Source organism: Homo sapiens, chromosome 8 (genome assembly GCF_000001405.40).
Source record: "Homo sapiens chromosome 8, GRCh38.p14 Primary Assembly".
Classification (NCBI taxonomy): Eukaryota; Metazoa; Chordata; class Mammalia; order Primates; family Hominidae; genus Homo; species Homo sapiens.
Genome location: NC_000008.11, coordinates 1544731 through 1556740, shown reverse-complemented (window position 1 = coordinate 1556740; position 12010 = coordinate 1544731). Strand labels below are relative to the sequence as shown.

Here is a 12010-nt window from a genome sequence, read left to right as displayed (position 1 = left end):
TAGAGTTCAGCTGCCCACTTTATTTTCTTAAGGACAAACTTGATTCCATTCCACTCCTTAACACCAAGACAGACAAGGGATAACTTAAATTGCAGTTCACCGGCCTGAGCTCCAACAGCTCCTAGTCCTGCTGTACTTTGGGTTGGGTCAGCCCTTCCAGGATCATTCACAGAGCAGTACTGCATGTGGACCACCAAGTCTGAGGCAGGAGACACAGACTCAGCGGGAACAGACAAGCCTGGGGCATCCACTGCCCTAGGAGGGAAAGAACAGAGCCGGACTCCGCCCAGCTGCACACCCACAGGAGCAGACCCCTTAGCTGCCCTGGGAGGAAGAGGTCAGAGCCAAACCCCGTCCACCTGCACTCCTGCAGGAGCAGACCCTCAGCTGTCCTGGGTGGGAGAGGACAGAGCAGGACTCCGCCCACCTGCACACCCACAGGAGCAGAGCCTCATCTGCCCTGGGAGGGAGAGGACAGAGCCGGACCCCATCTACCTGCACTCCTGCAGAAGCAGAGCCTCAGCTGCCAAGTTGAGGGCACTGTGCCCAGAACAAGGTGACCACTCGGTGGCCGTCATGGCATAAATGCAGATGGTTCCTCAGGGTCTTAGATCACAGAATCCAAGGACCCAGTCACAGGTCACAAGGTTTCTGCACCCAGTCACCATGAGGTCTCTGCATCCACGACCATCTTGAGTTACATGTAGGCCATGTCATTCTCCCCTGGTAAACCTGGATAAAACAGCGCATGCACCCACCCAGTGTTCCATGTTCACATGAGTTATGATTTCCAATGTGCTTTTCGGAACACTGTCTTGAATCTCACCACAAACGGAGGCGTGAAGGATTGAAGAGGCAGAAAGATTTACCAGACACAAGGCTAGCCAACAACCCAAAACCAGACACCCTTCAACATCCATCAGCATTTCAACAAACATTGCTGGAATTTCCGTCATGGGGATAAGAATGTGTTGGGTCCTAAGATGATGTCACTGAGATGTGACACAGCCCAGCGATCTCCCTGCCTGCCCGGCACCAAGCTGCTCCCAGCGATGACACACCGAGTCCCAGGACAACTGGGGGGTGATGGAGGAGTCCAGCCGGGGAGACAGTGAGAGGCTCGAAGGCACAGGCCCAGCTCCTGCACTCCTGCAGACGGTCCCTGATTACACGAACGGGCTCGGTGAGCACCAGCGAGATCCTGCCAAGCCCTGTGTGACGGTACTCAAGGTGGGAGAGGATTCTGTGGCAGTCGGGGCCGGGGGGAAGCGGTGGCCCAGAGGCAGGGCAGTTGTGGAGGAGCCCCTCACAACACAGGCTTTGCAGTCAGGAAATGGTGTGGCCTGGGCCACAGGACAGGGAACATAGAGTGTGGGGGGCAGGCACACGTGGCTCCTGGAAGCGGAGGTCACCGCTTTGTCTCAAGGAGGCGTTTTAGGACTCACACTGGATGGATGGGGCAGCTGGTGGCTGGGTGTCAGTGCAGGAGAGATCCAGACCAGAAACTCGAGGGGCTGCGGAAGGATTGTGCAGGGTTGTGCGTCTGTGTCCAGAGTGGCTTAAAAGGGGATGAGAAGCTCCTCCCGGACCTGCTATTCCACTACGGGATTGGAAGTGAGGTGTGGCCACACCCCAACTCTCCTATCCATTCACGGCCCCAGATCTATACCATGAGCCACTTAAAACAAAAGCCCTCCTTTCAAATTGCAAACGTGCATTAGAGTGGAGCACAGCCAGGCTGGCCAGTTCTTTCATTCTGCTGAGCACTGGTATCGCTAAGGATAGGAACCAACCACAGCAATCTCCTTTCTCCCTCTTTTGCCCCTAAAACTACAAATACAGAGAAGTTTTCTGAGAAGCTTGTTAGAACTATTGGTTTTCTGGAGTTGAAAGCACCCCATAAGCCACAACGCCAGCCTTCCTGAACTGGTGGGGATACCGTGAGGGTGGTGGGCGCGGGGGAGGGGGGGCTGGGGCGCGTGGGTCCTTCCTGCTTGCCAAGTTCTGGAACATGGGACACCTAGGTGCCCGGAGAGACCCTTATGCTCAAGCCAGCATCCTCTGGAACGCTGCAGGATACAGGTGCCCCTCGCTAATTGTTACTGAGTGTGTTGGACCCTCCTAGATACAGGGGCAAAGCGGGACAAAGACAGGACCCGGGCTCAGGAGGCAGATGGGCAGCAGAGGGACCCTCAATAAAGGTCAAGGTGGAGGCCAAGCTGAGCTGAGGGCGTGAAGGAAACCAGCAGGGAGGGGTCACCCAGCATGTGGAGGTGGGCCTGTGGCAGGAGGGCCAGAGGTGGCCCAGGCTGTCCCAGGCCACCACACCCAACTCTGATGAGACTCAGGTTCCACCCCAGATCGGGCAGAAAGAAGCAAATGGCCAGCATCGTGCATTCCATGACAAACCATTTTATTTATTTATTTATTTATTTAATTAATTTATTTATTTAGAGATGGAGTCTTGCTCTGTCACCCAGGCTGGAGTGCAGTGGCGTGATCTTGGCTCACTGCAACCTCCACCTCCCACGTTCAACCAATTCTCAGCCCTTGGCCTCCTGAGTAGCTGGGGCTACAGGCACTTGTCACCAGGCCTGGCTAGTTTTTGTATTTTTAGTAGAAACAGGGTTTTGCCATTTTGGCCAGGTTGGTCTTGAACTCCTGACCTCAGGTGATCCACCTGCGTTGGCCTCCCAAAGTGCTAGGATGACAGGTGTGAGCCACCGTGCCTGGCCCTGTGACAAGCCTTTTAAATGCTTATTGTAGAGACAAGAAACAGGGGAGCCTGGCTCCATTTTGTAAAAGATGGATGATTTTTCTAAACTACACCGCAAGGATGACCTGTTGACCTGGGAGATGGGACTTTTAAGATGTGTTTTTGTACCTAACTGGAAACCTCACAAATGCAGTAGCTGAGCCTGAAAGCCAGGGATCTGCACGGCCTACAAAACAGACACGTCGTTCAGAGAATGGCTGCAAGGAAAGCTCAGAACTCGGTGATGGGACCCGCAACACGTCCTTCAGCGAATGGCTGCAAGGAAAGGTCAGTACTCAGTGATGGGACCGGCTGCAGAGGGCGGGAGCAGGGAGAGGTTCTGAAACACTTTACACGCAGGGAGGGAATGCTCAGGGCTCCCCGTTTTCATCGCACCCCCTCCCCTCTGTGTTCTTTTCTGCCATTTGCTTCCAACACGTGAACATGTAAAAAGCCTGACAGGTAAAACCCAAAGTCTAACGGGGCTGCCCGTGAACACGCCAAGCACAACGGGGCTGCTGACCGTGAACACGCCGAATAAAACAGGGCTGCTGCCCGTGAACACGCCAAACAAAATGGGGCTGCTGCCCGTGAACATGCCGAATAAAACTGGGAGTCCGAACCTCTTCATGTCAAATAAAGAGTAGGGTCCGAACCTCTTCCCCAGGAGGGCCAGGGTTGCGGCCGGGCGACGCCAGGTGGGGAAGACACTAGAAGAGGAGAAAACCAGGAGCGCAGGACGCGGTGGGAGACTGGGAGGCTGCAGAGAGGAGGCCTGAGGACAGGAGGGAAGGAGGCGGGGACAGAGGCCGAGGGCTGGAGGGGCTGCCGGGTCTTCTCTGGGATGCAGCAGGGGCCCCGCTGTCCCTCCATCTGATGCCGCCAGGAGCCTTCCCGGGGAGGCGGCGTCTCTCCCTCCCTGCACGTCCCTGGGAGTTTCGGTGGACTGTGGCATAGAGAGCCTTTGGCATCCTGAGCTAAGCCACGGCGAATCCGTTCTGCATTCCTACAATGCTCATGAAAAGTTTGACCTTAGATGCTTAGTCTGCTGATGCAGAAAAGATGAAAACAAGAGCTTTGTGAAAGAATAACGTGAGGCCTGAATTGCCTTTCAATTCCACTTATTCTCCGTTTTGACCTACTTAAAAACAAGAAAAAAATCTTCCTCTAATGTGAACCACATACTCTGTACAAACCAAGGGTGAAAATGAAAAGTGATCCTGTCGTTCAGCTGCAAGTGCTCCTAGTGAAAAAAGGAAGAAAATTTATAAACATTTATTTCTCTCTTCTTATTCTTTTAAATCTTATCCGTACACTAGGACCCACAGACAAATTCCTTTAGTTTCCCTGTTTCCTGGCTGCGAAATAAAATCTGGGGTTGTGAGGACCCAGAAACCTGTAGTTTTCCACCAGAAAGTTTAATGCAATTGACAGGAAGGGACAGCCCTGCACAGGCATCTTTGAAAATGCCAGACGTCAATCCAGCTGAGTCCTAGGACAGAAACAGCCCGAGGAGGTTGCACACAGCTCCTGATATTCAGCTTCATAGATCCTTCCATGAGGGGTCCAGCAGCAACCACTGGGGGACAGTGAGGAGGGGAGAGAAGTCACCGAGCTGCATGCCCCGAAGAGGTGGTTTCACTGGGAGGCGGATGTGGGGATGGGGGAAGCTTGCTACTGCAAGAAAACGCCCTTGTGAACGAGCGCCATGAAAGCCGTGGCTGCTCCCTGCAGACGTCCTTCTATCCTCCGATCCTCCGGGCAGTGCTTCCCAATGTCGGCACGATAACGCTCTGTGTTGTTTCCGAGGATGTGTCATCTGAGTGGACGTGAGAGGGAGGCCAGTGGCGTCAGGGCAGGGAAGTCCAGGAGTGGGTGGCTGGCTGCAGAACAACAGGACCAGAGTGTCTGGAATGACCCCATGGCACGGAACTCAGACTGACAGACACAATCAGACCAACCAGCTGGTTCCAAACAAAAAAAATCTAGGGGGAGGAAGAGAGGAAAGAGAGGAGAAACCTCGGGCTGAACGAGATGAAGAGGCTCATCAGCAGCTGCCAGGCGGGCCCCTTCTCTGGATCCTGATTCAAATAAAAGCCAACAAGAGACAGTGAGCCCTCAGGGGAATGTGACCACTGACCAGGATGATATAATGCAGGTGGTTATGTTTCAAAAGAAAGCGTACTCATCATTCCGTGTGGATCTCTGGGAGATCAACACAGGCATATTTACAGTTGTATCTGTCTGTCGTGTGGGATTTGTTGCAGTGTAGCCTGGGTGGGAAGGCGTGAGTGCAGATGGAATGAGGTCACTTTCGGAGGGATGGTTTTTGAAAGGGGCTGACGGTGTGTGGGTTCATTCTGTCTCACTTCACCTTTGTGGACGACTGGTATTCCCTGCACCTAGACCGTGGAATAGCTGTTGGAGGCAGAGAGAAGCGTGTTCCTGGGAGGAAGTGGGTGGAAGAAGCTCCTTGGAGAAGGCAGGTCCAAGGGGCACAGGACCTGTGGAGAAGGCGCAGCTGGAGGGGCTTGGGGAGAGTGGCAGGCATTGGAGGCAGGTGACCCTGGGGCAAAACCTGGAGGCTCTGACAGTGTCCTGAAGTGCTCATTCAGGGAACACTGACTATCCACACCAGGCACAGACAAAAACAAGAGAGCTATGTGTCTGTGACAATGAGGAGACAGATCAGAGTGAACCCCGATTCTTTCTACCAGGCTTCTCTAAACAAGCAGACACAACTTTTACATTTGGATATGATTAGGGTTTGCCGACGGCAAACAAAATTTATGCCTCTTCCATTGCTATAAAATAATATTTTATGCAACTACCAATTTGTCTCTGAATAAATCTGCCTGCAAAGGCAATTTGGTTAGCATTTCCTTTCAAAACAGAGCTGTTGAGATGTGGACGCTGGACCTGATGGTGACGGTGCCACTGGAAGGATTTGCCACCACGACTCCCAGAAAGAATCACGGCTGCTAGTCCCCCTGTCCCATTAGTTGACTGCCTGTTGGCTCAGCCAGCAATGGCCCATTACTCCATGAAGATGTCTCTAAGCTGATGCGAGGCCCACAGCCGCTGCTCTAGGCAAGCAAGAGTGATTTGTGAGTTGGGACACACATGTTATGTTTTTTTTAACAGCGCTATCGACTGATGGAAGTCACTGAGTGGCATCCTCAGAAGTAGCGTGTGCCTCCCAGAGAGCTTCTCCAGTAAACTCAGGCATGGCACAATTCAGAGACAGAGAGTGAAATCACATAAAACAGGGAATTCTGCAATATGCCAGCTCTAGGGATCTACCTTCTTTGTTTTTGCCTTTGGTAAATTCATTTAATCCACACCCCAGAGACACAGAGGCCTTTTCCATAATCAGGCTTTTTGTAGTGGGGGGTGCTTAGAGAGGCTGTGGCCAGGTGCAGGGAGTGAACTCACGAATGTCGCAGGCCCACTTCCATTAGGCCGGTCCATCAGCTCTCACATGGAAAACACCCACATGGGCAAGTCTGTGTTTGCTGTGGTTGTTAAACCCTCCAGCCTTAGAGGCCTTAAAGAAATGGCCCACTGTGTTTAGAGGGATGGTTCCAAGGAGGAGTCGGGATCTTCAGAGGCCCTCCCAGAGCAGGCCAGACTCACGCATGAGAGCTGCCCGTAGATAACGTCCCGCCATCCCTGCAGCCCCGCGCACAAAGCCATAGCGTGCCGTCAATCCTCGAGTCTCCCGGCAAATGATGGATAAAGAAGATGCGGTACATACACAGGGGACACTACTCAGTCTTTGAAAGAAGGAGATCTGCCATTCTCCACAACACAGGTGAGCTGGAAGAAACTGCAAAGCAGGATGAGCCCGGCGCACACAGATAGAGGCCACATGGTCCCTCTCACGGGTGGCATCTGAAACAGCTGAACTCATAGGAGCAGAGAGTGGAACCGTGGTTACCAGAGGGACTGGGGATGGGGAAGAATTGGGAGATGTTGGTCAAAGGACAACATTTCAGTGAGGAGGGGTCAGCTCAAGAGACCTGTTGGCCAGCACGGTAACTGCAGTTAACAACCACGTATTGAATAGGTGGAAATCATCCAGAGTGGATTTTAAGTGCTCCCACCAAAAAAATTACGTATGTAAGGTAATGCGTGTGTTAACAGCTCAGTGGAGCTGTCCCAGAACATATCCGTAGCTCAGAACATCCTGTTGCACAACCTAAATGTGTATGCAGTTGTTATCTGTCAATTAAAAAAGGAATAACGACAATACCACCTGCTGTGCCGAGACGGCCTCCACAGGGCCGTGAGCCTGCTTACCTGGAGGTAGTGGCACGGCCTCAGGGCGGGCTTGGCGTCCTGGTGCAGCAGCGGCTTGTCCAGGTTCAGCGAGCTCTTGCGGTAGGCCTCCTTGGCCTGGCTGACCGTCAGCGTAGACCAGGAGCTGCGCTTCAGGTACTTGGCGTCGGGCGTCAGCGCCAACCCCTCACAGGCCGAGCACTTGACGTCGTTGTTGCTCTTGGAGGTCTTGAGGGACAGGTCCCCGAAGGGGCTCTGCAGCGCGTCGGGGTAGCAGTGGGCCACGGGGCCCAGGTGGTGCCGGTTGAGCACGCTGGGCGTCCGATAGGTGCTGTCGCTGTCCAGGTTGTCGTCCGAGCTCCACCAGCTGCTCATGCCGGGCCGGGGCTTGCCCTCCGGCTTGCGCTCCTTGCTCTTGCTCCTCTTGCTGTGCTTGGCGTGGTGGGCGTGGTGGTGGTCGTCCGCCCGGCCGTCCGCCTTGGTGCCGTTGGCGTTGCTTTTGGAGGAGCCCTCCAGCGAGTGCGACTTGGTGAAGAGCTTCTGCACGGAGTGTACCAGGTGGCGGATCCGCCCGGGGCTCTCGCTGCGCTGCTCGGCGGCCGCGGACGTCCTCTGGTACTGCAGCGTGTGGAAGCCGTCCCGGTGCAGCGGCAGCTGCTTCTCGAACTGGTCCAGCAGGTTGGCCGGGATGCGGTTGATCTTGGCGCCCGCGTGGGCCACAGCGCAGTCGTCGCGCGTGTCGTAGTGCGAGCTGTAGTGCATCCGCGGGAAGGTGCTGCTGGACACGTGGTCGCCCAGCACCACCGGCATCATCACGCACTCCGAGTGCACCGAGCTGCGCGGCGAGCAGCGGTGGCGCCCCCCGGGGCAGCTGTCGGCGGGGCTCAGCAGGTAGGGCGGCCGCGCGTCGGGCCCGTGGTGCAGGTGCTCGCAGTCCTCCGGGGGCGCCAGACCACACGTGTGCCCGGAACACAGCGGCGGCTGGGTCCGACTTCCGGAAAGGCCCTTCATGCTCCTGGGCGCGGGCGAGTAGCGCTCCTCATTGAAGTGCTGCGTGGGCGACCATGAGTACTGCGGGTCTGTGGGGAAACAGAAACGGCATTGAACACCCGGAAGCGCGGCGGAAACCCTCAGGTGCGGGGAATATGTGACCCCCACCGTGGACTTCATTAATCAGTGTCCATGTCTGGCCTGGGCACTCGAGAGGGCAGATTTGTGGGTTTTTTTTTTTTTTTTTTTTTTTTTTCTGAGACAGTCTCGCTCTGTCGCCCAGGCTGGAGTGCAATGGCGCGATCACGGCTCACTGCAAGCTCCGCCTCCCGGGTTCAAGCGATTCTCCTGCCTCAGCCTCCCGAGTAGCTGGGACTACAGGCGCCTGCCACCACGCCCGGCTAATTTTGTATTTTTAGTAGAGACGAGGTTTCGCCATGTTGGTCAGGCTAGTTTCAAACTCCTGACCTCAGGTGATCCACTGGCCTCAGCCTCCCAAAGTCCTGGGATTACAGATATGAGCCAGGACACCCGGCCAGGCAGTTGTTTTTATATCGCAAAGTGTGAGGAGTGGAGAGGAAACACTGATGTTCCCAAATGGTTAATGACCAAGATTTAGCATCTAGTAGATTGAACAGGTCTCTTGACAGCCGGATTTTGTGGTATTAAAGGAAATTAACAATTTGGGGGAAAAGCATAGTTGTATTTCACATAGATTTCAGTTTTGTCGTACAGCTTAAGAAGTTTTAAAAATAGCATCTGGTACTTGATGGGTGATATTGTCTAGTAAGCTCATGTATCACATACACAGGTATTAATCGTGAAATCGTTTGTTCAGTCCACACCCTTACAGGCCAGTGAGGATGGGAGGAGCTTTCTCGAGGTCCCATCTGTGTGGGGGCAGCTGTGCCTCCTTCCCCAGAGGAATCCCGCTTGACTCCTCCCTGTGTCCTTCTGCGGCCTGTGATGGGCTTTCCCTGAATGCCTGGAGGAGCGAGGCTGTGGCTACAACAAAGCACCACCTGTCTTATGGCCACTGAGCCACCAAGGGGCAGGTCGCTTGCTCTCTCCTCTCTCCCTGGGAAGGCGGCTGGGCGCTGGGGTGACCTGCAGAGAAGGAGGATCTGCCAGCTCCACGGCCTGTTGCTCCCCTGGTCTCTGCACTCACACCTTCCTCCTTCTGGCAGGCCCCCCTCAACCCCACATCTGCCTCCTCCATCCCAGGCCCCTCCTGCCCCAGACCCTCCTCCTTGTCACCAGGACCATCACGATGGCCTCCTCCTCTCTCTCCCTCTCCCCCTGCCTCCACCCAGACACAGCTGTGGGGCTGACCCCCTCAAATGCACCCCAGCCCATCCACCAACTTTTAGGGGAGCCCTGTTCTTCTCAGCCTGTCACCCAGGGCCACATCTAGGACAGCAAGCTCCCTGCGGGCACAGCTGCCTTCCTTGTGACAGCCACGGGCCATCCCGCAGCAGTGCCAGGCCCAGACCAGACGTCCAAGCTCTGTGATGACCAGAGGAGCTGCCGAGCCTCCCTCTGCCCCACGGTCCGCACGTCCCTGTGAGTCTGCTGAGCCTTAAGCACACCCGGCTGCCGTCATTTGTAGATGTCGCTGCCCGGGTCCTGCCGCCTCTCCTCCCAGGCCTGGAATGCATCCCTGCATTCACTCCAAGACCCGGCTCCACACCACTCGGCCTTGCTGTGTGCCGTCCTCGAGGCCAAAGACCCAGACAGGAGCAAGAAGTGGCCACCTCGACGGCTGAGCGTGGCCGTCTCCTCAGGAAGGGAACTATCCCCCCACACGTTTGTCCAATACCTGCCTCTCCTGGACCACCTCCATGCCTCGGATCCCGGAACGAATTCCTGCCTGCCAGCTCTCCCGTCACCATAAGCGTCTCTCCCACTTGCTCCTCTCTCGCCACCACCCTAAGCAGCCTGAGATGCACCCCTGCTTGCAGTCTTGGGGTGAGTCCATCATGCCCTGCGCTTGGAGAGCCACCCACTCTGACTCCCTGAGCAACATGGATGCCAGGGAAAGCAAGCAGAGTGATGGGGAGTGAGAGTTTTCCCATCGTGTCCAACCCCAACCCTCCAGGTAACCAAGGCAAAAACAAACAAACAACAACAACAAAATCCCCTGCTGATAATGTTTACCAAGTGACTAGTCCTAGGTATGGCCTCAAAACGTCGCAGATTTCAGGATCCAGGACGGCCAGCCGTCTGGGCCAGCATGGCCATGGAAACATGGGATAAGGAAGGGATACGATTTCATGAGTCCCTGGGAAGTCAGGGACCGGCTTCTCACACCCAGGTGTGAATGCAGAAGGGAACGTAAAGATTTCCTGAGGGATCCCGAGAGACTGACAGCAAGGTGTGGGGCTGTTTCTCCCACTGAGGCCAGCAAAGGGATTGCTCCTGCATATTCTCACAGTAAACAGTCCCCAGTTGAAGGATAAAGAGATCCTTTAACTTCAAGGTGAGCCTCACTGTGTTATATTTCAGGTGCCTACGCTGTCTCACAGGAGCACCTACACTGTAATGGCCGGCGGCGTCTTCCTTTCTCAAACAGTCAAATTATAATGAGAGCACTTTAATATATTGGGGGAATATTTAGATATTATTTTAATATAATTAAAAGCAAATTTTCAAATGAAATTCAATATTCAACTGCTAAATAGCAAAACTATGTGCTGTAATCCAGACTTTACAGCTGCATAAAGTTGTCATCCTATTATCTTTTGCTTTGTTTTTCCATTAACGTGTAATTTAATACAATTTTAATCTTCCTTCATATTAAAAAGAGAGTCCATTACTGCCCCACTCACGTATCCTACTTCTGCCTAATGTTTAGCCTAGAAGCTATGTTATGAATGTGGCTTCATAAAAGAATGGCATAAAAGATAAAATTTAACTGAAATGAATTAAATTTGATTATGCCACATGTTGATACCACATTCTCATTTCCACTATACAGGACTGGATTTCCTGATGGATGCATGGAAACATGTACTTTAAAATATTATCACAATAATGACAATGGCAGCGTGCTGTAAACAATGGCAACACTAGAACATGTAACGAGCACTAAGCTAGGTCTCCGGGTTTTTTAGGTGTGCACAATGTGTAATAAATACTTAGGGGCTGGTAATTTCTTTTTGTGAAAATGAGGTAGCAAACACAAAATGCGGAAAGCATCTTAGTTTCCTAATTTCCACTGCTTCATGACACCATTTTTGTCATTGAGAGAAAACAGCAATTATAGTCATTTATTCATGAACGTACAACCATCTCCCCAAATTCAGAATAGAATGTAAATGCACGTCTTACTGTTGCACTTATGGGGCGGCCGGCCTACCCAATCTAAATAGCATATTGTAAGTATAACAATAAAAATATGAAGAATGCAGCAAATGTTTACAGGGTGCACGCCGTGCTTGTGGGACGAAAAGTTCAGGACCAGATGGTGTCACAGGTGAATTCTATCAATATTTAAAAAAGAATTAACACCGATCCCTCTCAAAGTCTCCCAGGACTAGAATAGGCAGGAATGCTTCCAAGCCCATTCTATGGTAATTCTATCAGGGCCAGAATTACCCTGCTAGCAAAGCCAGATAAAGACAAGAAAAGAAAACTATAGATTAATATCCCTTATAAATAGAGATGCAAAAAGCCTCAAAAATAGTCCAGGTATGGTGGCTCATGCCTGTAATCTCAGCACTTTGGGCGGCTGAGATGGGTGAATCACAAGGTCAAGAGATCGAGACCATCCTGGCCAACATGGTGAAACCCCATCTCTACTAAAAATACAAACATAAGCTGGGCATGGTGGCGCATGCCTGTAATCGCAGCTACTCAGGAGGCTGATGCAGGAGAATCGCTTGAACCCGGGAGGCAGAAGTTGCAATGAGCCAAGATTACACCACTGCACTCCAGCCTGGCGACAAAAGTGAGACCTCTGTCTCAAAAAAAAAAAAAATCCTC

The 12010-nt window shown here is 53.0% G+C and overlaps 1 protein-coding gene across 1 annotated transcript in view; it reads right to left on the bottom strand.

Moving 5' to 3' along the window:
* DLGAP2 (DLG associated protein 2) overlaps nt 1-12010 on the bottom strand; it is a 970849-nt gene that overhangs the window by 151736 nt on the left and 807103 nt on the right. The window contains exon 5 of the mRNA NM_001346810.2: nt 7058-8115. Within this exon, the coding sequence (NP_001333739.1) occupies nt 7058-8115 (1058 nt within the window). The remainder of the gene's footprint in view (nt 1-7057; nt 8116-12010) is intronic.